Genomic DNA, 26,016 nt, shown 5'->3' on the forward strand with positions numbered 1-26,016 from the left:
TCCTGTCCTTTTCCTTGACAGTACTTATTAAAATCTGATAAAATACCTTATTTTGAGATGTATTTGTTGAATGTCTCCCTCCCGACACTAGAGTGTAGGAATGATAAAGGAAGGGACTTTTAGTTGTTATTGCTGTTTTTCACTATCTAGGGGACCAGTCACACATGCAGCTGGTACTTGGTAAACACCTGTTGAATGGATAAACACCCCCTTGCCAATATGGCTATTTCTTCTCCCCAAAAGTGGCTAAACTCTCTCAGTTTAGATATGCTATTGGCTGTGGGACAATGAAAAAATATATATACTTAATATATAGTATACCATATATAGGCCAGGCGCGGTGGCTCACTCCTGCAATCCCAGCCCTTTGGGAGGCTGAGGTGGGTGGATCACCTGAGGTCAGGAGTTTGAGATCAGCCTGGCCAACATGGCGAAAACCCATCTCTACTAAAAATACAAAAATTAGCTGGGCATGGTGGCACATGCCTGTGATCCCAGCTACTTGGGAGTCTGAGGTAGGAGAATCGCTTGAACCCAGGAAGCAGAGGTTGCAGTGAGCTGAGATCGTGCCACTGCACTCCAGCCTGGGAATACATGTTATAGATAAAGTATGCATAATATACATGTATTATATATATAAATATATATTAAGTATATATTCATGTATTTTAAATTTAAGTATAGATGTATTTTATAAATTATATATAATATATATAAATTATATGCATGGGAGAATTTTATGTCTCCCTGATTTTCAGTAAATTATATAGACAAAATTACAGAATCCATAAGTAGCAAATTAAGTAATTTTACATTGAAACCACTGACTCTACTTTATAGCATAGGGTGATGGTCACACCGACACCACAAGCCCTAACCCCCGCCTCCTGCCAGCTCTCCTGGCCCCCTCCTGCCAGCTCTCCTGGCCCCCTCCTGCCCATGCTCTCTAGACCCTGGGTACACTGACTGACTGGCCTTCTCTCAAGGTTCTCAACCATGTTACGCTCCTTTGCGTAAAGGCCCTTTGCCTATGCCCTTCCCTCTGTTTGCAAGGGTCTTCCCTTTGCTTTTCATACAGGTAACTGCTGTTTATCCTTTTCAATCTGTTCAAATATCATTTTCCCAGGAAAGGCTTTTCTAACCCTCAAACCATGCCAGTTCTTCTGTTTCACATTCGAATAGGTCCCTGTGTTATCACCGTCTCTAACTGTGTATCTGTGCAGTATCTGTCCAGCAGCTGCCTCCCTGATGAGAACAAATACTCCAGGAGGGGAAGGAGCCGTGACAACAGACATGACATGTATATGTGGATTCTGGCACAGTGCTTAGCACATAATAGGAGTTCAACATTTGTTTAACGAATAAACAATTTGGAGAATGTACTGAGGAAGGAAATATATTATTTTGGATTTAGGAAAAATACCTTACTATGTTTAATAACACTTTTTCTTATTAGGAAAAGAAAAAGTTTATTTAATCTAGATTAAAGGATAGCTACGGAGCTAGTCAGTAAAATGTTCAAACAGATGTGTACAAATGTGGACAGCAGAAAGGTGAGTTGCTGCCACTGCTGCTGATTTTGCACATCAACTTCCGGGAAGATCTTAGAAAGTACAGGTGACTCTCTAGGTCACAGATCACTAAATGGAAGTCCTTCCAAAAGATGGAAAGATGGCATGGGGTAGGGGAGAAGGATGACCTCATAAACTCATTCTGGTCCAAAATTCTCTGAGACGAAGCAACTTGCAAGTTTATTTATGAATGAAATGCAGACTTGAGAAGCCACTCCATGAATCCTAGCAGCCAGCCAAAGTCCGCTGAATGAAATCTCAATAAAGAAAACCTGAATTCAGACTAACACAGCCACGTAGAGAAAACCCTTTCCTCATCTGACATCAATGTGTGTCTATACTCCACATTTGGAGGGGGCAGGTGTTAGGTTCCTATGCCAATTTCTTTCTTTCTTTCTTTCTTTTTTTTGAGGTGGAGCCTTGCTCTGTCGCCCAGGCTGGAGGGTAGTGGCATGATCTCAGCTCACTGCAAGCTCCGCCTCCTGGGTTCATGCCATTCTCCTGCCTCAGCCTCCCGAGTAGCTGGAACTACAGGCACCCGCCACCACACCTGGCTAATTTTTTGTATTTTTAGTAGAGACAGGTTTCACCATGTAAGCCAGGATGGTCTCTATCTCCTGACCTCGTGATCCATCTGCCTTGGCCTCCCAAAGTGCTGGGATTATAGGCGTGAACCACCGTGCCCGGCCTCCTATGCCAATTTCTAAAAGACTGCTTGACCCATAAAGTGCCTCATGCCACCAGGAAGTGCACCCAAAGTCCTCAGCATAGCTCTTCCGGGTTACAGCTCTGGGCTGTGGATGAGCGTGTCTTCCTGCTCACGTTCCACCTGCCAAAGAGTAACAGGAACTCCTTCCACTTCAAATCATTCCATATTTCCTTTAAAGGACAGCGGTTTCTAACTGTCTTGCTTCCTTCAAAAGGCAAACGTACTTAAATTCTAGGGGTGTAGCATCAGACAACATCACTCCTGCCATAGCCATTACGTTACACAGCTCTGAGCTCACAGGCTGGAGGGCATTGTTTCAATAGATCTTCCAACCCCTCCCCTGGTCTAACATGTGCTCTTATCACCAGGAGGGTCAAGTGGGAATAGGTCACATATTAAACCACATGGCATCATACTAGGATGGAACCAAAAATGAAGTATGCTATAGCAGGGGTCCCCCACCCCAAGCCGCAGACCAACACCAGTCCATGGCCTGTTAGGAACCGAGCCACACAGCAGGACGTGAGCAGCAGGCAAGTGAGCATTACTGCCTGAGCTCCACCTCCCATCAGATCAGCAGTGGCATTAGATTCTCATAGGAGGATAAACCCCATCGTGAACTGTGCATGCGAGGGATCTAGGTTGCACACTCCTTACGACAATCTGATGCCTGGTGATCTGAGGTTTAACAGTTTCGTCCTGAAACTACCCCCCATCCTGGTCCATGGAAAAACTGTCTTCCACAAAACTGGTCCCTGGTGCCAAAAAGGTTGGGGACCGCTGTTCTATGGCAACCTAGACTTTAACAAAAAGAATCTTCTAAGCCAGGCGTGGTGGGACATGCCCATAGTCCCAGCTAGTTGGGAGGCTCAGGCAGGAGGATGGCTTCATCCCAGGAGCTCCAGGCCACAGTGTACCATGATCGAGCCTGTGAATAGACACTGCATTCCAGCCTGAGCAACACAGCAAGACCCTGTCCCTATTTTTTTTTAATCGTCTTACAGCAATGTTTCTCAAACTTCAGCATTTCAAATACCACCTACAGAATTTTTTTTTTGCCTCGTTCATATTTCATCTGTACTATTTTTCTGGCTTATACAAGTTAAATGAATAAAGAAATTTTATATTGCCGAGAAATCAGTTTTCAGATGCTAGCCATTTTTATTTCTATCACACAATGAAATATACAACTATTAAAATACAAGATCTTTCTCTGTATATTATCTAAAATAAATTTGCCTAGCATACTTTGGGGAATTCTGATATCAGATAATACATGAAGAAATTCCTTCACCAAACTTTCCTCACATTTCACCAGTACATGATTAATTCCATTATCAAAGTGCTAAATAAACAGTTTGAGAGGCATTTGAGAGGCTTCTGATAGTGACTTGTGCACCAGCAACGAAAACTTCTTTCTGTAAAGTCTGCTTTTAAGAAATCTCTCACGCCTGTAATCCCAGCACTTTGGGAGGCCACAGCAGGCAGATCACCTGAGACCCGGAGTTCGAGACCAGCCTGACCAACATGGAGAAACCCCGTCTCTACTAAAAATACAAAAATTAGCTGGGTGTGGTGGCATGCACCTGTAATTGCAGTTACTTGGGAGGCTGAGGCAGAAGAATGGGTTGAACCCGGGAGGCGGAGGTTATGGTGAGCCGAGATCGCGCCACTGCACTACAGCCTGGGTAACAAGAGCGAAACTGCGTCTCAAAAAACAAAACAAAACAAAAAAGAAATCTCTTCAAGAGTTCAGAGGAGCTGTAGACACAAATGACTATAAACATTTCTTAGCAAAAGGGTGGCTAACCTCAATTCAATGACAATTCACAAAAAGACACCATGATTACTTCTATTAGATTCCTGTTGCTACTCTAACAAATTATCACACACTGAGTAGCCTGGAACAATAGGCATTTACTCCCTTTAGTTCTAGAGATCAGAAGTCTGAAACCAGTTTCACTGGACTGAAATTGAGGCGACCCCCGCAGAAGCTCTCAGGAAGAATCCATTTCCTGGCTTTATTCCAGCTTTTAGAGCTTCATTCCTTGTACCCTTGGCTCATGGCTCCGTTCTCCACGTTCAGAGTCAGCAGCGTAGCATCCTGCTTCAGTCACTGCACTGCTTCAATCTTCCGTTTCAAACTCCCTCTGCCTCCCCTTTGTAAGGACGTTTGGGATCGCACTTAGGGTTCACTGGGATAATCCAGGATAATCTACCCACCGTGGCAATCTGGACTTTGCACATCTGCAAAGTCCCTTTTGCCATTTAAGGTAACATTCATAGATTCCAGGGATCGGGACTAGGATATCTTTGGGGGTCATTATTCAGCCTACCACGCTGTTCTTCTAAACTTTTAACATGAAAATTCAGCTGAGCAGTTCTAAGAGCCCCTTACCATGGTAAATCACTGATGTGTATGTGAAATCTTTATCTGATCCTTTTTTGGAGGCGCAGAGTCGTATTTTATCCTTTAAGGAGCACAGTCATATTTTCTAGCACGTTCAAAGGACACGCTGGTCTCCTCAATTCCAGGACTGACTCTACGAATACAATTGGTTTTCCTTATCACTCTGGTTCCCGGTGTGTCACACAAAGCAGAGAGGAGATGCACGCCTGGTCCCTTGTGCCTACACTGTCAGATCTCAATAATCCAGCATCTTGGGCACAGGCAGGGTGGGAATGGGAAGTACTTTTAGGCAAAAATAAGAGCCTGGCCCCCTTTGGTAAGATATCTCCGTATGTCTGCCAGCTCCTACAGTGGGGCTGAATTGCTATTTCATGAGCAATAGTGTCATCTTCATCAATGCCAAACAAACAAAATGCTCTCATTCAATTTAGCAACCATGTAGTAAACATTTTCTACATGTTCACTTCAGGTAGCTGTAGTGATCTTGATTTCTGGAAAAACATGTAAAATAACAGTTTCTGAACCCTTATTCATATTCATTAATTTAACAAATATCATCAGTCACTATTTGCCATGTGAGTTAGCACTAGTGATCCAACAATGAATAGAATAGAGTGCCTCCCTTCAAGGGGGTTCCAGTGCGGTGGAGAATACAGACAAGTAAATGTCAATCAGTCAGTGACGGATGCTATGACTAGGGAAATACAGGATCCTAGGGGAGCATGAAAGAAGGGAAGATTTCTTAAGAGAAAAGGATGCCCAACCTAAGCTCAAAAAAAAAAAAAAAAAAGTCAGCAGTAGCTAAAGCAAGATGTATGCTGAGGTGGGGGTTGGAGGAGGAAGCAGAGAGGGAAGAACAGTAATTGGCAGGAGGGGGAAGGTATTCCAGCCACTGGGAAAAGTTTAATGAAAGTATCAGAGGGCCGGGCATGGTGGCTCACGCCTGTAATCCTAGCACTTTGGAAGGCTGAGGTGGGTAGATTGCCTGAGCTCAGGAGTTCGAGACCAGCCTGGGCAACATGGTGAAACCCTGTCTCTACTAAAAATACAAAAAAAAAAAAAAAATTAGCCGGGCATGGTGGTGCGTGCCCGTAATCCCAGCTACTCGGGAGGCTGAGGCACAAGAATCACTTGAACCCGAGAGGTGGAGGTTGCCATGAGGCGAGATCGTGCCATTACACTCCAGCCTGGGTGACAGAGCAAGATTCTGTCTCAAAAAAAGAGAAAGTGTCAGAGGCCAGGCCCAGCATTCTGGTGCAACTGATGAACTTGAAGTGAGTCAGTATGGTGGGGTGTGTAATTCTAGTGACAGGGAATGCAATGACTAGATCATTGAGAACTAGTGTGGACTTTATCAGGAAGGCATTGGGAGGGCCACTTAAAATTAATAATGTAGCTGGGTATGATGGCACATGCCTGTGGTCCCGGCTACTGAGGAGGCTGAAGCAGGAAGACTGCTTAAGCCCAGGAATTCAAGTCCAGCCTGAGCAACATGCCAAGACCTTGTCGCTTAGAAAAAAAATTATAATAAGATCTGTGTTCTGAAGACAACACTGATACAAGGCAGAGAAAGGCTGAGAAGGAAATAAGACACAAGGCAAGGTATCAGGCTATTGCAGTAATCGAGGCCAAGGATGACAGTGGCCCAGAGGTATGAACAGACTCTAGTGATCTTTAGGAAGCACAGCTGACAGGACAGGACAGGACTCACCTCATGAGGAAGGAGTAACTGGGCAGATGAAGAAGGCATTCATGGAGAGGAAAGCATAGGGCCTGGCTTCTATGACATATATACACATACCTATTCTGCTTCATAAATAAAATGGAAATAACCCTCAAAGGGTAAAAAAATGTATGCCTGCTGTTGTTCAAATCAGAAAGAAAAACAATAAGTAAACTAGACAGTATCACAGAGGAAAAACTAGGAAACTTAGAGGATTGATCCAGGAGTTCTTTGTTTTTGTTTTTTTGTTTTTTGGTTTTTTTTTTTTGAGACAGAGTCTTGCTCTGTCACCCAGGCTGGAGTGCAGTGGCGTGATCTCAGCTCACTGCAACCTCCACCTCCCAGGTTCAAGTGATTCTCCTGCCTCAGCCTCCCGAGTAGCTGGGACTACAGGCATGTGCCACCACACCCAGCTAATTTTTTTATTTTTAGTAGAGACGGGGTTTCACCATATTGACCAGGCTGGTCTCAAACTCCTGACCTCAAATGATCCACCTACCTTGGCCTCCCAAAGTACTGGGATTACAGGCATAAGCCACCATGCTCGGACAATCCGGGAGTTCTAAATCTGACCAGTAGGAGTTGCAGCAAGAGAAAATACAGAAAAACAGAGGGAAGGAAATGACAAAAGAATGTCCCAGAATGGAATCTCTAGATTGTAAGGGATGCCAAGCATCCAAAACAGTGAATGAAAATGTACCTACTTTAAGGCATGCTCATAAATAAAAGATCCTAACATGTTCCAGAGAGAAGGAAATAACTCACCTATAAAAAATCAAGAATCGTGATAATGAACGGCCTAAAAGTAACAACACTCCAGTGGCAATGGGTACAGTACAGTATGCACCAAGATCTTAGATTCCAAACAGCATTTCCCAATAAAAGGAACCAGGGATCCTTGAGGAAACAGCAGATTCCAGGGATAGGATAGAGAAAAAGGAGAGCCTGGGACATTTTATGCTTCCAGAAAGCAAGGAATTGCTCATAGATTGTCAGGGAAACATCCAAAAGGATTGGTCAATTTGGGATATTTGAGCATCAAAAGAATGGCAAAGACCTGCACACACCAGCAGAGATTTGTTCTTGGTGTGATGTCATCCATCAAATCGTGCCTCTATGATTCTTTGTGATGCTGATCTTTGTGATGTGATTCTTTGTGGTGGCTCATGCCAAAAGGTCTCAGAACATCAATTCTGTTCATTTTCTTGTTTTGGTGTTCTTTTTAAAAAGCTCTGCTGCGGGTGGTGGCTCAAGCCTGTAGTCCCAATACTTTGGGAGGCTGAGGTGGGAGGATTGCTTGAGCTCAGGAATTCAAGACCACTCTGGGCAACACAGGGCGACCGGACCCCCATCTCTACAAAAAATAAGTTAAAATTAGCCAGGTGCTATGGTGCCGGCCTGTAGTCCCAGATACTCAGGAGGCTGAGGTGGGAGGATCACTTGAGCCTGGGAGATGGAGGATGCAGTGAGACGTGACTGTGCCACTACACTCCAGCTTGGGCAACAGAGTGAGACCAGAACCACAACTCTGGGTTCTGGAGAAGTGCTGGTGGTCTGTCATGAGCCCTTTGTGCCCTCCCACCCATAGAGGCCACCTGGAACTAAAGAGCACTAGAATTTGTGGCTGCATGAGGGGACGTCATCCACTCAGTGTTCCACTTGCCAACGCCCCTAGTCAGTGGCCATTAGGGTCTGTCATCACTGGGATTTTCACTTAACTGCTGATCCATTTCCTCGCTTGGCTTGGTCACTGGCATAGGAACAGGGTAATTACTGGGGTTGGTCAGGCCCTTTTTAATTCTCTATGAGGAAATTAGAAACTGAATTCCAAAACTGAAGATAATTCGACCTTTCAGCTTTGTGGTTATACTCTAAGTACAACGTATTTTGTTAGTAAGATTTTGATACTTGATTCCAAAATGACCTAGCCTATTGTTTTCCTCATTTAATGAAAACCAAAATTCAGCAGGCCGGTAAATCACATGCAGATACTTGCAGCCAATGTGCTGCCCTTTTCCAGCGCCCCTGACTCCCTATCACTCAGATCACAATAAAAATCCAGATGGGGCTGCAGCCCCATTCTTAACACCTACAGCTATCATGGCCTTTTTTCGCTTTAACAAAAGGAATAAAAGCTGATGATGGTCTTGGCAGGGATATACTTTTTTATCCTCAGAGAGTCTCTTTTCCTGTGACTGAAAATGGCTGACTCTGCCCTATCTCCGAGGAGCAAATGTTCACATTAGAAAACCACCAGCATAGCTGCCTTCTCTCCGGGAGGCCACCACAGAGAAAACCAAGTTTGCACTGGCAACGAATGGAAAAATACCTCCTATTTGTATATGTACACATGTAGCCACCCGGGTATGAGATGGAGATGAGGACAGGGGAGGTGTGGGGGAAGCAGCAAAAGGGATAGGGGCAAAATGTGCGAGTCGAAGGACCTCTGACTGTGACTGTGATGCTGTGTATATACACGTCGCCACGTGGATGCGCTTCTGTGCATGTGGGGGATTTAGACCTGTAATGTGAGCATATAAGAACCAATACAAAGTACAGCGCTAAATACATTGTCTGCATATTCAACAAGGGCACTGCTTCTCAAATCTGGCAGCACCTTGAAATCATCAGGGGTGGCTTCAAAAACTACTGATGCTTGGGCCCCACCCCTGGAGGTTGTGATTCACTTGGTATAAAATTACTGTGGTAGGCTGGGTGCAGTGGCTCATGCCTGTAATCCCAGCATTTTGAGAGGCCGAGGCGGGTAGATCACCTGAGGTCAGGAGTTTGAAAACAGCCTGGCCAACAGGGTGAAACCTCGTCTCCACCAAAAATACAAAATTAGCTGGGCATGGTGGCAGGCGCCTGTAATCCCAGCTACTTGGGAGGCTGAATCAGGAGAATCGCTTGAACCCGGGAGATGGAGGTTGCAGTGAGCCGAGATCGCACCACTGCACTCCAGCCTGGGCAACAAGGGCGAAACTCTGTCTTAAAAAAAAAAAAATTACTGTGGTAGACAGAACAGTGGCTCCCTAAAGATGTCCAGCTCGTAGTCCCTGGTGTCTGTGAATATGTTAGGTTAAATGGCAAACGAGCCATTAAGCTTGTAGATGGAATATGGGTTGCTCATCAGCTGACCTCAACATGAGGAGGTGATCCTGGATTATCTGGGTGGGCCCAATGTCATGACAAGGGTCCTTAAAAGTAGAAGAGGGAGGCAGCAGTCAGAGGTACAAGTGATGCCATATGAGAGGCACTCAACCTACTGTTGTTGTCTTTGAAGACGGAGGAAGGGGTCATGGGCCAAGGAATGTAGCTGGACCTCTCAAAGCTGGAAAATCAAAGATATGAATTCTCCCCTACATCCTCCAGAAGGAAGAGCCACCCTGCCCATGCCTTAGTTTTAGCCCAGTGTGACTCACATCAAACTTCTAGCCCACAGAACTGTAAGACATTAAGAGAGAAAGAGAGAGAGAGAGAGAGAGAGTGTGTGTGTGTGTGTGTGTGTGTGTTTTGAGAGTCTCTCGCTCGGTCACGTGTGTGTGTGTGTGTGTGTTTTGAGACAGAGTCTCGCTCAGTCACCCAAGCTGGAGTGCAGTGGTGCAATCTCAGCTCACTGCAACCCCTGCCTCCTGGGTTCAAGCGATTCTCCTGCCTCAGCCTCCCAAGTAGCTGGGACTACAGGCGCCTGCCACCACGCCCGGCTAATTTTTGTATGTTTAGTACAGGTGGGGTTTTACCACGTTGGCCAGGCTGGTCTCGAACTCCTGACCTCAAATGATCCATCCACCTCGGCCTCCCAAAGTGCTGGGATTACAGGCGTGAGCCACTGCACCCAGCCTTGTGTTGTTTTAAGCCACTAAACTGGTGGTAATTTGTTACAACAGCAACAGAAAACTAACACACTTCAACCTGAGGAAGCTAATTTTAAAAATCAAATTAAAAAAAATGAAAACAACAACAAAAAAGAAAACTAACACAGGTATGGCCTGGGCTCTTGGAGTTTTAAAAGCAGCCCAGGTGATTCTAATATGCAGCAAAGTATGATAACCACTAAACCAGACGAAAGACAAGATAAAGACGTGCGGCTTGATTGCCTTATGCTGGACAAAGAAACGGTGCTTTCATATGGGAACTTAGTAAATCATCCCACCAAATTATGCATGTAAAGCACCATCACTTGTTAGCCATCCACCCGCAGACACTGCAGCTTACCTGCACGTATATCACAACACATGATCATCAGTTTGGTGGCTAGAGTCCTCTCTAGTCTCACCCATCGAATAGGCTAAATGTCCTTGGGATGAGGAACAATTGTACACCAGATAGGCAGATTTTCTATAAAGCTTACTTTCCTTTTTTTTTTTTTTTGAGATGGATTGTCACTCTATCGCCCAGGCTGGAGTGCAGTGGCACAATCTCGGCTCACTGCAACGTCTGCCTCCCAGGTTGAAGCGATTCTCCTGCCTCAGCCTCCCGCGTAGCTGGGATTACACGCATACAACACCATGCCTGGCTAATTTTTTGTATCTTTAGTAGAGACAGGGTTTCACCATGCTGGCCAGGCTGGTCTCAAACTCCTGACCTCGTGATCCACCCGCCTCAGCCTGCCAAAGTGCTGTGATTACAGGAATGAGCCACCGTGCCCGGCCTATAAAGCTTACTTTCTTATCAATACTATCACTTAAGGAAGGAACTGACCAATAACTGAATTATATGCAAATACATAAATTAGCCTGTTCGTGTTGGTACCATCAGGGAAAGAACTAAGTTGTCCTCTCTGTGCTGAAACTATTAGAATTGTAAAGAGAGAAGGCTTCTCCATTGGATTTAGTAATCTATTTATTTATGATAGATGATAAACAGATGGAATTGATTTATGACAGATAAATGGAACAGCACTGCAGGAACAAATTAACTCATTCTTCCCAAGGATGGAGAATAGAAGTGTCTGCTGTAGGATTCTGAGAAGTGCAGCCCTCTCTTCAAAGCAGGTGTTCGTCTATCCCCAGGGCTTCGATGCTTGCTCATACATGATAACTTTTCTTTTTTTTGAGACGGAGACTTGCTCTGTCGCCCAGGCTGGAGTGCAATGGTACAATCTCGGCTCACCACAACCTCCGCCTCCTGGGTTCTAGCAATTCTCCTGCCTCAGCCTCCCGAGTAGCTGTGACTACAGGTGTGGGCCACCACGCCCAGCTAATTTTTTGTATTTTTAGTAGAGATGAGGTCTCATCATGTTGGCCAGGCTGGTCTCCTGACCTTGTAATCCGCCTGCCTCAGCCTCCCAAAGTGTTGGAATTACAGGTGTGAGCCACCGCACCCACCTGATAACTTTTCTTGAAAGCCATTCCATCGTGTTATTACTAAAAGCTGAAACCTTAGATAGAATACTTTACATTTTCTTTTTCTCTTCCTACTTTGTCTTCTTTAGAGAGGAAGCCAGTTTAGCAGCAAAAGCAGTCACGTTAGAATCAGAAGACCTGAGCTGGAGTTTAGCTCTGTCACTCATAAGCGATGTGGTCTCAGGGGGCCCTGCAGCCACTCTGAGTTTTGCCTCTCACACGAGGAGGGTGCCGCCTTCATGATGTTGTGTGGAGATGAAATGAAATGACATAGATGAAAGGGCTTAGCACATAGTGGGGGCTTTCCATAAATGCCAGCTTCACTGCCACTCAACGACTCCACGCTGTCACACGTCACCTCTACACTGCAGCTGCTCCCATCTCTTCTCTTTGGCTCCGCCCTCTCCCTGAGCTCTGGTACCCTGTCTCCCACTGTCAACTGGACATCTCCCGCCGGCATCTCTAATTAGACACATGCAAACTGGACTTACCATCTCACCCAAAAACCAGTGTCTGCTCTCAAGTTTCCCAACTTCATCCTTAACGTAAAATCACTGGCAATCCCGTGCCCCCGTATTTCTTCCCCCTTTCTGCCCCTACAACCCATCCAGGCCCTCCTCAAGCCAAGAGCCTTGCAGATGCCTACACGTCTTAAACACTCCCCAATCCACCCTGCTTGCAGTTTGCAAATTCATCTTTTTCCAACCAGACTTGTCACATCAAACCCTGAACAAAGATCTTCAAACCCTTTTTTGCCCTGAAGCCTGGTACATAGGATCGAAGAAGAGCAAACTCCACCGGGTGTGGGGATGACAGGAGGCCCACACAGCCTCAGTGTACAAAGTGCTGAGCAATTTCATATCACTGCCACATAGAAGAAAAGCTCTTGGGATGAATGGATCATAAAACACAGTATTGTTAAAAGCAGCTACTGAGAACTGGAAAATTTTTCACCAAATTTCTTTGCATAGTATTTAACAACTATCATCTAAATCTGCCACAACCCCCACTCCAATGCGTTAAACTGTAACAATCATTGACATTAAACCACTTTACATGTTGTATAATCTTAAACTCATTCAACAAATGCTCAAGCCTTTAGTATTTATGTCAACGGCAAATCTGGTCAATCCCAGACTTATTCTTACCATTTTGTTCATCCAATTCATTCCCAATTTCCTGCCCCATTTGTTTTTGGCGACTTATGATAGAGGAAAGGGCATCAAGGCCTGCGTCCTGTTCTGAAAGAAAAAAGAAAAATAATTAACTAGAAACTAGAAGAAAACAACTTAAAGTCCATAAGTATACCCAGGCATATAACACAAGTTGACATATAAATCAGTCAGGAAAAAAAAGAGAAAAGAGTTAACATTATTGGAACAAAATTTAAAAACTAAACACCTACCTGACACCTTAAACTAAAACGATTTCCAAAAGAATTAAGATTTTAAATATGAAAAACAAAGTAAGATTTGGAAACATGAACATTTAAACTTTCTGATACTTAATATATAAAGAGCATGTACAAATCAATAAGAAAAAGACTGAATATCCCAATTTTTTAAATCAGCAGAGGATACAGGCAAGAACTTCACAATAAAAAAGAAAATAAAGTTTTAACATCGCTACTAATTTTTTTAAAAATACAAATAAAAAACTACTTTTTTTGGCTTATCAGATGTATAAGGATTAAAAAGAATGACAATACCTAAGGTTAATTAAATTGTGACGATCTAGAAGCTCCCAAGTACTATGTAATAGGTGAATAAGTTTTACTGACGGCCGTATTTCTCAAGTGTAGACTGTGCCCACCTTTTTACCTGCCAATTCTAAGTCTAGGAATGTATGTAAGAAAATATTCAGATAGCATGTAATGATGGATATACAAGGATATTCCCTGAAACATTTGTTTCTTGTGCCAGATATCAACTTAGTGCCTCTCAGCAACAAATTCCCTCTTTTTGGCTGCTCTATGAAGATGAACCAGCTGGGCACAGTGGCTCATGCCTGTTATCCCAGCCACTTTGGGAAGCCAAGGCAGGAGGTTCACTTGAAGCCAGGAGTTCAAAACCATCCTGCATCAAAAAGTAAGATCTCACCTCTAGAAAATTTTCTTTAAAAAATTAGCCAGGCAGCCAGTCGCGGTGGCTCACGCCTGTAATCCCAGCACTTTGAGAGGCCAAGGCGGGTGGATCACGAGGTCAGGAGATCGAGACCATCCTGGCTAACAAAGTGAAACCCCGTCTCTACTAAAAATACAAAAAAAAATTAGCTGGGCCTGGTGGCAGACACCTGTAGGCCCAGCTACTGGGGAGGCTGAGGCAGGAGAATGGTGTGAACCCAGGAAGCGGAGATTGCAGTGAGCTGAGATTGCGCCAATGCACTCCAGCCTGGGTGACAGAGTGAGACTCCGTCTCAAAAAAAAAAAAAAAATTAGCTAGGCACGATGGCATGTACCTGTAGTGTCAGCTACTTGGGAGGCTGAGGTGAGAGGATTGGTTGATCATCCAGGAGTTCGAGGCTGCAGTGAGCCATGATCACGCCACTGCACCCCAGCCTGGGTGATAGAGAGAGGCTCTGTCTCTAAATAAAAAATAATTTGAAAATTTTTTAAAAAAGAAAATGAACCAAGGCTGCTTGAATACTTTTTCCTTTGTCAGAGTTTTTGCTTCCTGGCTCCAGCCTGCAATCTTGGCAGGCTCCTTCAGCAACTGCAACTCCTTCAGTGCCTGGCCCCTTCAGTGCACAGTGGCCAGCAATACCCAGAACCAGCAACTTCTCCCAGCACACCCCCTCCTCGGGCAGGTTTATAACAAGAGCGCCTCCAGGGAGGTTCTTCCCCATGAAGAGTTTCCCCCAGCATCCCAGAGGGCAGATCTCCAGGAGGTTCTGACAGCAGGGCACCACGGGGGCTTCTGTGAAATTCAGGGACCCTCAGCTGAGCCTTCTCTTAGCCCTAGGGGCGTGGGCTCCTCCCTGGACATTCTGTCTCAGCCTGAGACTTGGTGATTGCACCTTATCCCTGCTAGTTCTGTTTTGAGAGTTCTTTTGACCTCTTGTTAGCTAATCCCTCGTTACTCTAATCCCTGTTAAAATTAATAATTTACATTCAACTTTCCCTGTCAAATTTCTCTCTCCTGATCAGACCCATAGTGATATACTTATAATAGTGAAAAATTAGAAAGTACCTAAATGCCCAAACACAGAGATGTTTATAAATTTATAGTATATCCACATAGTAAAACACTGTATAGCCACTGAAAATCATATTGTTTATCTATATTTTGATGTTGAAAGAAGTTCATATGTTTTGTTTTTTTTTGTTTTGTTTTTTTGTTGTTGTTGTTGTTTTTGAGATGGAGTCTCACTCTGTCGCCCAGGCTGGAGTGCAGTGGCGCGATCTCGGCTCACTGCAAGCTCCACCTCCCGGGTTCACGCCATTCTCCTGCCTCAGCCTCCCGAGTAGCTGGGACTACAGGCGCCCGCCACCACGCCCGGCTAATTTTTTGTGTTTTTAATAGAGACGGGGTTTCACCGTGTTAGCCAGGATGGTCTCGAGCTCCTGACCTCGTGATCCGCCCGCCTCGGCCTCCCAAAGTGCTGGGATTACAGGCGTGAGCCACCGCCCCCGGCCCCCATGATATGTTCTTAAGTAAAAAAGCAGGAAGCTGGGCGCAGTGGCTCACGCCTGTAATCCCAGCACTTTAGGGGGCTGAAGCGGGCAGATCACTTAAGCCCAGGAGTTTGAGACCAGACTGGGCAACACTGTCTGTCTCTACTAAAAATACAAACATTATCTGGGTGTGGTGGCGCATGCCTATAGTCCCAGCTACTCGGAGGTGGATGGATCACTTGAGCATGGGAGGCAGAGGTCACAGTGAGCCGAGATGGCGCCACTGCACTCCAGCCTGGGTAACAGAGTGAGAACCTGTCTCAAAAAAAAAAAAAAAAAAAAAAAAAAGATACAAAACAAAGTATAGTACAACAGCTTTTGTTTTAAAAATGAAAATGTATTACTTTGAAACTTTTTGCAAATTTAAAGAGCAAAGTTAGTTTTTGAAAATTTAAAGAAAAAGGTGAGTTAAACTCAAGTTACTCACGATCCTTTCTTTAAAATTTAATATGTATATTTTGAACTGGGGGTCTCGGTCATGTCTTTGTAAAAATTTTCTTCCTCTAATTTCAGGTGCTTTGAGAACACTGTGAAGCTGAGTGTAATGACTCTTGTTCACCACGGAACACGCCGCATGAAGGTAACATTGTACCCCTCGCAGCTTCATTTGTCTACAGGGTTTTTGAAATGACTGTTTCACATAAAGGCTTATCTACAAAAGCAAAAATCACAAAGGTCTTACTCGAGGTCGCATTAACATTTACTTATATTTTTTCCAAGTCTTTTTATGGAATTAAATCATCAAACTTAGCTCTTTAATTCATCTGGAATTTATTTAAACTAACGGTGTGAGGTAACAACCCCTTTGTGACATTGTTTGACACACTGTACTTTTTTTAACTATACAAATGACCTGCCGTCTTTAGGGATCATTCACAAGGACCATTTTATAGTAAAATCACTTTATAATGAGGTCCTCTTGGTCTTTAATAACAACCTCTTGGATGGCCTCCAAGATAAATCCATCCTCAACCAAGTGCTCCTATAGGATGACTGATGTTATAGTAAAATTCTAAATGCATCTGATGAATAATCTATATATATAGGACTGAGGGTTGAGTGTCAACGTGGATTAAAAGATAAAACCATTTAAAAATAGGAAAGGCAATTCCTCCACAGTTTCCATTAGGAAAAGAGTCATTAAACTCCTAAAATTGCTTTATCTAGTAGAGACATAGATTATGAATGAAAAATACACTAATTACACTCTTTAATCTCAAACTTGACTCATTATCTGATTTAGCAACCTGATGATCATCTAATGCACATGAGAAAGAGAACTAAAAGTTCTGTTCCCCTCTAATAATTTGTATAAGCTTAGCAATTCTCTCCACATCTTTAAGTGCTGCAGTAAATTTTCATTACACAATCCAAAGACACAGAAGATTCAGATAATCGAGATGCTGTAGAGGTAATAATAATCACATTCATAACCTGGGCTTCCCCAAGTCCTGAAGAGGCATTTCTAAGGGGAAGGTGGTATGGCTATCTTAGAGACAATGATCAAAACACAATGCTGCTGACTGCAAAAATATAAATAATCAAGAACCATGCATGGGCATGGTGGTGTGCGCCTGTAGTCTCAGCTATTCGGGAGGCTAAGGCAGGAGGACTGCTTGAGCCCAGAAGTTCAAGTCCAGCCAGGGGCAATATAGCAAGACTCCTGTCTCAAAAAGAAAAAAAGAAGAAGAAACCATACCATGCAGTTTCTTTTTCTTTCTCTTTTTTTTTTTTTTTTTGAGACAGAGTTTCGCTCTTGTCGCCCAGGCTGGAGTACAATGGCATGATCTCGGCTCACTGTAACCTCCACCTTCCAAGTTCAAGCAATTCTCCTGTCTCCGCCTCCCCAGTGGCTGGGATTACAGGCATCCACCACAATGTCCAGCTAATTTTTGTATTTTTAGTAGAGACGAGGTTTTGCCATGTTGGCCAGGCTGGTCTCGAACTCCTGACCTCAGGTGATCCAGCTGCCTCGGCCTCCCAAAGTGCTGGGATTACAGGCGTGAGCCACCACACCCAGCCACCATGTACTTTCTTACCAACAAAACTACCATCATGTCATAACTGCCAAAATCTGCCCTACTCTTTCACATAACCCAAGTCATGATGATATCACAAGAGGGCAATTGTAACATACCACACTCTATCAGTCATTATTCTATTTTACAATGATTTGAATTTTTAAAAATGGATGGATCATTGTTACAGATAGAATAATATCCCCCATGTTTAAGATGTCCATATCCTAATCCCCAGAAACTATGAATATGTTCCCTTACATGGCAAAAGGGACTTTGCAGATGTGATTAAGGTTAAAAATCTGAGACGGGGGATTAGCCTGGATTATCCAGGTGGATCCAGTATAATCATATGAGTCCTGAAAAGCAGAGAACCTTTCCCAGCTGCCATCAGAGGGAGTATGAAGAAGGGTCAGAGAGAGATAACTTACTGGCTTTGAAGACGAAAGAAGAGATGTGGGAGCCCTCTAGAAGCTACAAAAAGTAAGGGAACGAATTCTCCAGAATGAGCCTCCAGAAAAGAATCAAGCTAACTGCTTGATCTGAGCCCTGTGGGACCTGCATTGGACTACTCACCTACAGAACTGTAAGATCATAAATGTGTTTTAAGTCACTAAGTTTGTGCTAATTTATTAAAGCAGCAATAGAAAACTAATACAATCATTTTTTAAAAATCCCCTTGAAACCATTAGGTGTTTGGATATTTCCTATCTGTAGACATTCAGAAATGCAAGATCTGGATAGTGGGAAACTAAAGGGCAAATGCAGTTTCAATGAAGAAACTGCATAGAAGAAAAAGGAAGAGTTGGAAAAAGAACCTGTATATTAAAGAAACTTAAGAGACATAACTAGTTGCAATGTATGGGCCATATTTAGATCCTGAATTGAACTACCTAAAAGAAAACATCACAGCACAATCAGGGAAACTTGAATGCTGAGTATTTGATTAGATTCAGGAAATATTGTTAACTTCTTAAGGATGATAATGGCATGTGACTATAGTTTTCCAAAACAGTATTTATCTTTTCCAAACATATTTCAGATATATATTCTCAAATATCCACTGATGAAATGATACGATGTCTGGGATTTGCTCCCAAAATAACCTAGGGGCTGGGTAGGATGGGTAGGTTACGGGATGGCATATACATGTGAACAGATTGGCTATGGGTTGACAATCACTGAGGCTGGAGGATGAGTAGGACAAAGTCATTATCTGACACTCTCTACTATTACACGTTTGAAATTTTCCATAGTAAAAAGTTATCAATATTTTAACAATACAACAGAGGGACATCCCTAAGAGCTGCAACTACAGTCCCTGGATTGAGTACAAGATCCAGACCCCAATGACTGTCTTCTTTTCCTGTGTCTTTGACATACATGAGACTTCTTCTTTTTCTATGTCTTTGCCCCAGATCTGAGCCCAGCTAGTGGCACGGAGCACCAACATATTTAAATCAAGGACTGAAATGTACAACACTTGTTTAAATCAATGAATGACCACAGAGGGAGGGCCCTCTAGGTTTACAAAAGAAAGGAATACAGTCTCTGCTAGACAGAAAGACTCCTGGCCAATACTAGAGAGCCCTCTGAGTTTACACAGTCAAAAAAGTAGTTGATGTTGTGTTGTCCAGTGCCCACAGAGAAGCAATGAACCTTTCACATTTAACATACAGAAGGAGCTCTCCCTCAATAAAGGAAGGTAGGAATGAAAGAGAAGAAAATCAGGTCACCCAGGTGCAGTGGCTCACGCCTGTAATCCTAGCACTTTGGGAGCCTGAGGTGGGGGGGGATCATCTGAGGTCAGGAGTTCGAGACCAGCCTGGCCAACATGGCAAAATCCTGTCTCTACTAAAAATACAAATATTAGCCAGATGCAGTGGCATGCACCTGTAGTCCCAGCTACTTGGGAGGCTGAGGCTGGAGAATCACTTGAACCCAGGAGATGGAGGTTGTATTGAGTTGAGATCGCACCACTGCACTCCAGCCTGGGTGACAGAGTGAGACACCATCTCAAAAAAAAAAAACAAAAGAAAAGAAAAATTAGGTCAAGCTAGATAAAAAGTTAATCACTATGTTAGAAGACTCAGAGCAAGTTTAAGAATAGATGTTTTTATTTTTGTTTTAAGATTTTAGGAAAGGAATCCTTCTAGTCTAGGTGACAGCTACAAGAAAGGGTATCTTCAAAGAAAGTTTTCTGTGAAGCTGTGACTGCAAGGGTTCAAAGGTTAGCTACTAAGATTCCCCAGTGTGAAATGGAGTCTGGCTAGCCACCTTCTACAGCCCCATTTCACATGCAAACACCAAGAGACCTAAGAACGCAGAAATCTAGAACGATTGCACAATTTCCTGCTAGAGTCTAGAAAGAACATCTATAGAAAATTCATAAGACTAGATGAAGCTGATGAAGAAACCCCATCAAGAAAGACCTCCTGGGTGAAGGTGGAATGACACTTCATACTTCTCCAAGGTCTGCGATCCCACTCAGGGACAAGGGTGTATAATAACCAAAGCATTTTGAAACAAGAAACAAGTACCCTTGTTCCTTCTATCTCAGGGATCTTTGAGGCAATTAAGTGATTGTCATCACCCACCCATCTTCTGCCTAATGCCCATTTCATGCTTCAAATTACAGCTGAAGGGGCACAGAAGCCAAATTGGCTAATTTGTTACGATGAGGCTTCACTTCTAGGTTAGGCAAGGAAGGCATTCCCTGCCCTTCAGTCTATGTTCTACCAGTAAACTGTAATTTTGGGATGATTTTCAAAGTTTCTAAGGGTCAGCTAGAGTGCAGAATGGCTAAGGGATTCCACGGGCTAAAGGAAGTCAGAAATGACCTTTTGTGGCTCTTTATTTTCATTTAATGCAGGACCTGGCAAGGACGCAAACAAAGCCATAGCAACTTCAGCACATTGTCAAGATTCTTGAGGCAGAGAAAAGGCTAATAAGGGTTCTGTGTGAAGATTACTTCCATTTTTTGTATTTGTCCTTGAAAAACAGCTCGCTAGCAAAGAGGAATATGGCATTTCTTTCTTTCTTTTTCTTGAAGCAGTCTTGCCCTGTCGCCAGGCTGGAGTGTAGTAGCACAATCTCGGCTCACTGCAACCTCCGCCTCCCGAGTTCAAGCCATTCTCCTGCCTCAGCCTCCCGAGTAGCTGGGACTACAGGCGCCCGCCACGGACGCCCAGCTAATTTTTGTATTTTTAGTAGAGATGGGGTTTCACCATGTTGGCCAGGATGGTCTCGATCTCTTGACCTTGTGATGTGCTTGCCTCTGCCTCCCAAAGTGCTGGGATTACCGGCGTGAGCCACCACGCCCAGCCGGAACATAGCATTTCAAAACACAAAGGTAAGAGCAGTGGAGAGAAACTGACCTGCAACCTGCGCTGCCGCTCCCCGCAAACTCCACCCACACCCCACAGGCCAGCAGGCTTCCCAAGGGTGAGAATCTTCATAAGGAAGCTCTGTTTTGGAGACTGTGACAAACACTTTGAGGAGCATCCTCTCACACTGACCTAAAGCAACCCCTGAAAATAGCACCTTCTCCGGGACGAGCATACTCTTCCCGACTGAAAACAGCTTTTCTTGGCAAAATGCAACAATGCCAGAAAATGCATGAGTATTAGCTATAAGGTGCTCCATTCAGGAAATGTGAGTCCTGAAGAGCGAATGGTTGTGCTGCATGTAAAGCTGTGTTGTTTTTCATTTTTTTCACTTTCCTCCAAATATGGTAATGGGTGAAGTATGTAAAACTGAAGATGTAAGAGAGTCACGGTGTTTCACTGACTCAATAATTTCACTGTGAAAAGGGAATTCGAAATAGAATCAGATTTCTGCTTCTGCCCAAGATGGACTGACAGGCACCAGACTTCCTTCTGGACTGAAACAACTGGAAAAACAAAACAAAACAGGGTAAATATACGAAACAACAGTTTTAAGACATGGACATCAGGAAATGAAGGGCAGTGATCCCTGAGAGACGGGAAACAAATGAGGTGAGTTCTAAGACTGCCCCGGATTACTACCTCATAAGAGTTCCCAAGCCATGGTGTGGGGATGGGAGAACACAGGTGGAACCCAGCATTTTCCTCGAGTTGAGAAAAGTCCCAAGAGGCCATGGTGGTTAGAGGATGTAGGGCACAGGACCAGAGAGGACTGCAGAGAGTACTCTGTAGATCTGCACAGGGGCCACTTTGAGTCTCGAGCTGAGTGTCATTCAGAAATTAGTGACTTTGGCAAGGCTGCATGATCCAAGATCAATATACAAAGATCAACTGTATTTTGATATACAAGCAACAATTAGAAATTGATATTTTAAAAATGCTACTTAGAATAAAAGATATGAAGGCCGGGCGTGCTGGCTCACGCCTGTAATACCAGCACTTTGGGAGGCCGAGGCGGGCAGATCACGAGGTCAGGAGATTGAGACCATCCTGGCTAACATGGTGAAACCCTGTCTCTATTTAAAAAAATACAAAAAATTAGCCGCGCGTGGTGGCGGGCACCTGTAGTCCCAGCTACTTGGGAGGCTGAGGCAGAAGAATGTCGTGAACCCAGGAGGCAGAGCTTGCAGGGAGCCAAGATCTCGCTACTGCACTCCAGCCTGGGTCACAGAGTGAGACTGTCTCAAAAAATAAAATAAAATAAAAGATATGAACTATTTAGGGATAAATAGGATAAAAGATATATAAGACACGTATAGCAAAAACTAAAAGGCATTGCTGAGAGAATTTGAGACTCAATAGTGTTAAAATATCAATTCTCCTCAAACTAATCTAAAAATTCAATGTAATCCCAATCAAATGCCCAGGAAGCTTTCTTTTGTAAAATTAAAAACAGATTCTAGAATTCACATGGAAATGCAAAAGACCTAGAATATCCAATAAAATTGTAAAAATAAACGAAGCTGGATGACCTGTACTATCTTACTTAATGACCCATCATAAAGGTAAAATAATTAATACAGTGAGGCATTGGTATAAAGATAAACAAATAGACCAATGGAAAAGAACAGAGAGTACAACAGAAATAGGCCCATACGCGCAGCAGCTCACATCTGTAATCCCAGCACTTTGGGAGGCCGAGGTGGGTGGGTCACCTGAGGTCAGGAGTTTGAGACCAGCCTGGCCAACATGGAGAAACCCCATCTCTACTAAAAATACAAAAATTAGCTGGGCATGGTGGTACATGCCTGTAATCCCAGCTACTCAGGAGGCTGAGGCAGGAGAATCGCTTGAACCTGGGAGACGGAGGATGCAGTAAGCCAGGATCACGCCACTGCACTCCAGCCTGGGCAACAGTCTCAAAAAAATAAACAGGCCAGGCACGGTGGCTCACGCCTGTAATCCCAGCACTTTGGGAGGCCGAGGCAGGCGGATCACGAGGTCAGGAGATCGAAACCAGCATGGCTAACACGGTGAAACCCCATCTCTAAAATACAAAAAATTAGCCAGGCATGGTGGTGGGTGCTTGTAGTCCCAGCTACTCGGGAGGCTGAGGCAGGAGAATAGCGTGAACCTGAGAGGTGGAGCTTGCAGTGAGCAGAGATTGCGTCACTGCACTCCAGCCTGGGCGACAGAGCAAGACTCTGTCTCAAAAAACAAACAAACAAACCAAACATGATGAGCTGTCACCTCACACCTGTCAGAATGGCTATGATCAAAAAGAAAAAAGATAACAAGTGTTGGCAAGAATGTGGAGAAAAGCGAATCCCTGCACACTGTTGGTGGGGATGTAAATTTACTGCAACCATTATGGAAAACAGTATGGAGGTTCTTCAAAAAATTAAAAGTGATACTAGCAATCCCACTGCTGGGATTTGTAGGCAAAGAAAGCCAGGCAAATACCATATGATCTCATTTATATGCAGAATCTGAAAAAGATGAACAGAGAAGCAGAGAGCAGAGGAGTGGTTACCCAGCCCTGGGGTTTGGGGGAGAGATGAGGAGATGTGGGTCACAGAATACAAAATTTCAGTTAGACAGAAAGAATAAGCTCAAAAGATCGACTGTACAACAGGGTAACTAATATACTTAAAAATTGCTAAGAGAGTAGATTTTAAGTGTTCTCACCATAAATAAATATGCATGTGAGCTTATACATAAGTTAATTAGATTGATTTGCCCATTCTACTATGTATACATATTTTGAAACAACACATTGCAAACCATAAATATAATTTTTACTTGCAAATTAAAAATTGTTTTAAATTTAAAAAGTCAAACAGCTACTATATGACTCACTCATTCCACTTGTAGGTATTTACCCCAGAAAAAATGCAAATTTACGTCCATACAAAGTCTTATACATGAATGCTAATAGCAGCTTTCTTTGTAACAGTCAAAAACTGAAAACCACCCAAATATTAATCAACAGGTGAATGGATACACAGATTGTGGTAAATCCATACAATGGAATACAAATCTATAATATAAGAGTGAAATGCAGGCCGGGCGCGGTGGCTCATGCCTGTAATCCCAGCACTTTGGGAGGCCGAGTCGAGTGGATCGCTTGAGGTCAGGAGTTCGAGACCAGCCTGGCCAGCATGGTGAAACCCCATCTCTACTAAAAATACAAAAAAAATTAGCTGGGCATGATGGCGGGCGCCCGTAATCCCAGCCACTCGGGAAGCTGAGGCAGGAGAATTGCTTGAACCCAGGAGGTGGAGGTTGTGGTGAGCTGAGATCGTACCACTGCACTCCAGTCTAGGCAGCAAAGCCAGACTCTGTCTCAAAAAAAAAAAAAAAAAAAAAAGAGTGAAATACTGATACACATAACCAGTTCAATGAATCTTAAAATAATTATGCTTAGACAAAGAAGCCAGAGCCCCTTCTTCCCCAAAAGGTACATACTGTATAGTTCTATTTATATAAAATTATAGAAAATGGAAACTAATTTATAGTGACAGAAAGAAGTTCAGCAGTTGTCTGGGCATGGCAGGGAGGAACAATAGGAAGAATTACAAAGAGGCATGAAGAAAACTTTTGGGAATAACAATTAGGTTCATTATTTTTATTGCAGTGATGGTTTCACAGGCATATACATATGTCAAAGCTTATCAAATCATATACTTCAAACATGGGCCATTTATGATCATATCAACTACATCTCAATAAAGCTGACTTTAGATTTATTTTCTCCTCCTCCTCCTCCCTCTTCCTTTTTATTCATTAATTTTTTTAAAGATGGGATTTTACTATGTTGCCTAGGCTGGTGTCAAACTCCTACACTCAAGCCATCCTGCTGCCTTGGCCTCCCAAAGTGTCAGGAGTACAGGCATGTGCCACCAGGCCTGGCAATAAAGCTGATTTTAAAAAGCAGAATTAGAAAGAATAATGTATCTGTACATACTGACATTTTAAAAAGTCCATAACACATACTAAGTGGTTTTTTCTTTTTTTTCCTTTGAGATGGAGTCTCACTCTGTTGCACAGGCTGGAGTGCAGTGACATGCTATATCGGCTCACTGCAACCTCTGCCTCCTGGGTTCAAGCGATTCTCCTGCCTCAGCCTCCTGAGTAGCTAGGACTACAGGTGCGTGCCACCACACCCAGCTAATTTTTTATTTTTAGTAGAGACGGCGTTTCACCATGTTGGCCAGGCTGGTCTCGAACTCCTGATCTCAGGTGATCCTCCTGCCTCAGCCTCCCAAAGTGCTGGGATTACAGGCGTGAGCCACCACACCCAGCCGACACATACTAAGTTTTAAAAAGGTGTGGAATTATATATATATATGGAGAGAGCTAAATATCTCATGATTCCATTTATGTAAAATAAGTATATTTATATTGAATATATGTATGTGAATGTATACAAAAGGTCTAAGGAAATACATATTAATCTGTTTCCAGTTTGAGATTGGAGAAACAATATGGAGGGCTTTCATCTTATACATTCCTATGTTGTTTACACTTTGTATAACAATCATGCATACTTCTGAAATTTTAAAAATATAAGAAAGTTTAAAAAAAAAAAGTTAAAAAGCCACAGGGCAAAAGATAAAAAAGAAAAGCCAAACTGACATATTTTATAATTTAAAAAATAAAATGGAGTCTTGTGTTTGGAGACTAATTCCCAGTCGTGAAGCTAAAGTAAAGAGCATAAGCATCAAATTTGCTTGGACTTAGATTCAGATCTGCTCTCTCTGCTCTTGCCCAATGGAAAATCACCACTTCCATGAGCCACCGAGATGAGTGACAGCAACTGTCTATTCCTCAGGTATCCTGAGGCACACACCAAAAGCTTTAAAAGACCAGCAGTTTTCACTCCAATTTTCAATGGGGATGAGGAACAAACAAGGCTCCAGTAGAAAATCTGGTGGCCGGGCACGGTGGCTCACACCTGTAATCCCAGCACTTTGGGAGGCCAAGGTGGGAAGATCATGAGGTCAGGAGATCAAGACCATCCTGGCTAACAGGGTGAAACCCTGTCTGTACTAAAAATACAAAAAATTAGCCGGGCATGGTGGCACGCACCTGTAGTCCCAGCTTCTCGGGAGGCTGAGGCAGGAGAATCGTTTGAACCCGGGAGGTGGAGGTTGCAGTGAGCCAAGATCACGCCACTGC

The 26,016-nt window shown here is 43.5% G+C and overlaps 1 protein-coding gene across 4 annotated transcripts in view; it reads right to left on the minus strand.

Annotated features, from left to right (window-relative positions):
* STX8 (syntaxin 8) overlaps positions 1 to 26,016 on the minus strand; it is a 325,350-nt gene that overhangs the window by 228,452 nt on the left and 70,882 nt on the right. For all 4 annotated transcript variants that reach the window (NR_033656.2, XR_934120.3, NM_004853.3 and 1 more), the window contains one exon: positions 12,907 to 12,999. Coding sequence is in view for 2 of the 4 variants with exons in the window: in NM_004853.3 (NP_004844.1) it covers positions 12,907 to 12,999 (93 nt within the window). In the remaining 2 variants the exon portion in view is untranslated. The remainder of the gene's footprint in view (positions 1 to 12,906; positions 13,000 to 26,016) is intronic.

This window comes from Homo sapiens, chromosome 17 (assembly GCF_000001405.40).
Source record: "Homo sapiens chromosome 17, GRCh38.p14 Primary Assembly".
Classification (NCBI taxonomy): domain Eukaryota; kingdom Metazoa; phylum Chordata; class Mammalia; order Primates; family Hominidae; genus Homo; species Homo sapiens.